Source organism: Homo sapiens, chromosome 17 (genome assembly GCF_000001405.40).
Source record: "Homo sapiens chromosome 17, GRCh38.p14 Primary Assembly".
Taxonomy (NCBI): domain Eukaryota; kingdom Metazoa; phylum Chordata; class Mammalia; order Primates; family Hominidae; genus Homo; species Homo sapiens.
In genome coordinates this window covers 35,406,462-35,409,650 of record NC_000017.11, presented here as the reverse complement: position 1 = coordinate 35,409,650, position 3,189 = coordinate 35,406,462, and the positions used below count along the sequence as shown (strand labels likewise).

General features: G+C 41.0%; 1 pseudogene, besides 1 other annotated feature; it reads left to right on the top strand.

Annotated features, from left to right (window-relative positions):
* Positions 1,387-1,600: a silencer, noted in NCBI's record as "fragment chr17:33735070-33735283 (GRCh37/hg19 assembly coordinates)". NCBI's record gives its function as "represses an EF-1alpha promoter that drives an FKBP-Casp9 reporter gene in an ReSE screen in HepG2 liver carcinoma cells {active_cell/tissue: HepG2}" and the evidence as "EXISTENCE:reporter gene assay evidence [ECO:0000049][PMID:32094911]".
* Positions 1,794-2,902, top strand: LOC729839 (DTW motif tRNA-uridine aminocarboxypropyltransferase 2 pseudogene; annotated as a pseudogene).

Sequence of the window (3,189 nt, the reverse complement as noted above, 5' to 3'; positions counted from 1 at the left end):
ACACAATAAGAGTCATTGGCCCCGTGCCTATTTGGCATCATTGCAAGAAACCTGGGGTAGTAATAGTGGACGTATTTAGAGAGTGAGGCATAAGCTCACCTAAACAGCCTAGAAAATGTTTACTATGAGAGTAAGAAGGAAGAACACAAGTGGATATACGAGGAGTCCTTGCAATCTGGCCCATCAGTAAGTTTTTCATGTGTGCATCATTAGTCAAGAAAGTAGATCTGAAATTTTGGGGGGTCTTTAGTATAATCTTGGTGGAGTTGTAAAGTGGATTAAAAGTCTGAATTATATATATATCAAAGTGGCAGGTCTGGCAGTCATATTGTTGAACAGTGTGGCTGATACATTAATAATGTATGTGTACATTCGTGTATGTGTGTATAACCAAGGGGAAGGGGTGGTCATGGTCAGAGATGTAAGACAAGAGGTCGGCGGGGGGAAGCTTCAGGGAGTGGTAGGGGAGGGCACTGGGGAGCGAGTGGGTCAAGGAGTTGACTAATAGGAAACAACTACCTCCAGGAGAAGGCAATAATCTCCATTACTTTTTATTATTTTATTTTTTTTTTTAGGGACAAGGTCTTGCTCTGTTGGCTGGGCTGGATTGCAGTGGTGTGATCATAGCTTACTGCATCACTGAACACATGGGCTCAAAAGATTCTCTCACCTAAGCCTCCTGAGTAGCTAGGACTACAGACACCACCAACTCACCTGGCTAATTTTTAAAATTTTTGTAGAGATAGGGTATCACTACGTTGCTCAGGCCGGTCTCAACTCCTGGGGTTAAGCAGTCCTCCCATCTTGGCCTCCCAAAGGGCTCGAATAGGCAAAATTGAGCTGTTTAATGAGAAGCAGTGGGGATAATTATCCCCTTTCATAATGAGGTTCTATATAACAAGTCTTAATCCTTGAAGGGCCTATTCTAACTTAAATTGTGCCATATTAACTATTTTAAAGAGGGATTTATAGGGTCCCATTTTATCAAGCCATTTTTTAAGTGCCAAAATTTTAACTTTAGTTTATTATTTGTTGTGTCAGAGAGTCTGTGTCCAATAAGAGATACTTTAAAGCAATGGGTACAAAACTATGGGAAATTCAACCAAAGCAGTAAAGTGAGGGATAGTTATCCAAAATATTTTTTAACTTTAGTTACCTTTTTAAGATTAGAGGGCATACAATATTTAAATTTAATGAGAACCCCAAGTATAATATGTATTTTTTTGAGAAGGAGTTTCGCTCTTGTTGCCCGGGCTGGAGTGCAATGATGCTATCTTGGCTCACGGCAACCTCCGCTTCCCGGGTTCAAGTGATTCTCCTGACTCAGCCTCCCGAGTAGCTGGGATTACAGGCACCTGCCACCATGCCTGGCTAATTTTTGTATTTTTAGTAGAGACAGGGTTTCACCATGTTGGCCAGGCTGGTTTTGAACTCCTGACCTCAGGTGATCCACTCGCCTCGGCTTCCCAAAGTGCTTGGATTACAGGTGTAAGCCACCACGGCCCACTCCAAGTATAATTGGAGCCCCAGTATTGATTGAGTCCATGAAGTATGTCAGCTGGTATATTTTAGCAAATGCTAAAGTTAATTTAGACCTTATGTTGTAGAGACAAAAAATCTAATCAATGTCCTTTTATCTTTTTGTAATATAAATTCTTTGGTATATACATTCTGGATTTCTAATTGGGCCAAATTATGGACATTTGTTTTAATTTAGTTACTTATGTTATATCCATATCTATATGTACACATACAATCTATTCCTTAAGTCTATATTGAAATATTATATCGAAGGCCTGACCAGAGTGTCCGCCATGGAGTCGCAGAAAGAGGCGCGACCCCGTCGCGCGACCGCCTGGGGCCTCAAGGTCTCAGACGCCAAACTACAAGGAGCAGCGGGAGGGCGGCGCAGTGCTGGCGACGGCTGCCCTGGGAACAGAGGCGGACGACGCTAGTGCGGGCGGGCTGTGGGAGCTGCAGGTGGAGCCGAGGAGCTGAGGCCTGCGTGCAGCCGCTGCAAGCCGGCCTCAGAAAGTGTGTTTTTGTCCATTTCTCCCAGCGCACCCTTTGCATATCTCTACCTACTTGTGCATAATTCAGCATCCAGCAGAGGAAGACAAAATGTTGCGGACAGTTCCTCTACCAGCAGCATGCCTCCCCCAGGACAAGCGCAAAGTGAAGACTGGTCGTCGCTTCAGTGAAGAAAGAGATCCTGAACTTTCAACTGTTTGCCGGAAGTTTGGTACATTAATGTTATATCCAGGGGCTAATATAAGAAGCTGCTAATCTGGAAGAATTTATATTAGATTCTCCTGTTTATCCTTCTACAATCATCGTCATTGATGGTACACGGAGCCAGGCTAAGGACATTTTCTGTAAGAATTCCTTGTTCTGACACCCCCAAACAGGTGCAGTTAAAAACGAGCATTTCTAGTCAGTATGTAATTCGGATACAGCCAATTAATAGATGTCTTTCTACACTGGAGTGTGCACCTGTTGCTCTTTCCATCTTGGAGAAAAATAATTACATACAAGAGACTTTGCTTCGCCCTCTTGAAGCTTTATGCTCTTTCCAGATTTAGCATGGTGCCCAAATTGGCCCCAGCAAGCAACGCCTTCTGAAAAAATGGATTATATCCTAAACCAATGCCAAAGAACAAACACAAACTCAGGAAAATGGAACTATTAAAGAATAGTGTTAAAATTTAGTACAGTTGTTCTTTTGGTGTTAGCTTACCTGTCTTCATCTAACAATACCAACTTAAGTTTTCATATAGTTTAGGTCTGTAGGTTTTTGACTTGCTAATGAGAATTGCATACTAATCTTGCCCAGAAGAAGGAAGTAAACCAAATATTCATAGAAACAAACAAACGAATGAAAATTCACTGGCTCACTGAAAAGGAAGATTTCATACTGTACTTGTTTTTAAACATGTGCCTCTAATAATACATGTTTTCAAACCCAAATTTAAAGTGTGATTTGTTGTTGAGCTGGGTTAGAAGTTCTTGCTTGTAAAATAGAAGGAAATCCTTGTGGTAGATTGGAACAGTATTGTTTCCATTAATGTTTATAAATAAGTAGGTGTAGACCAATAATATAAGATACCTACATCAATTTGCAGTCCTAACTTTATAGTTTGAAGTAAGTAGCAAAAGAAAATTATGATAATTAATTCATTATTTTGTAAA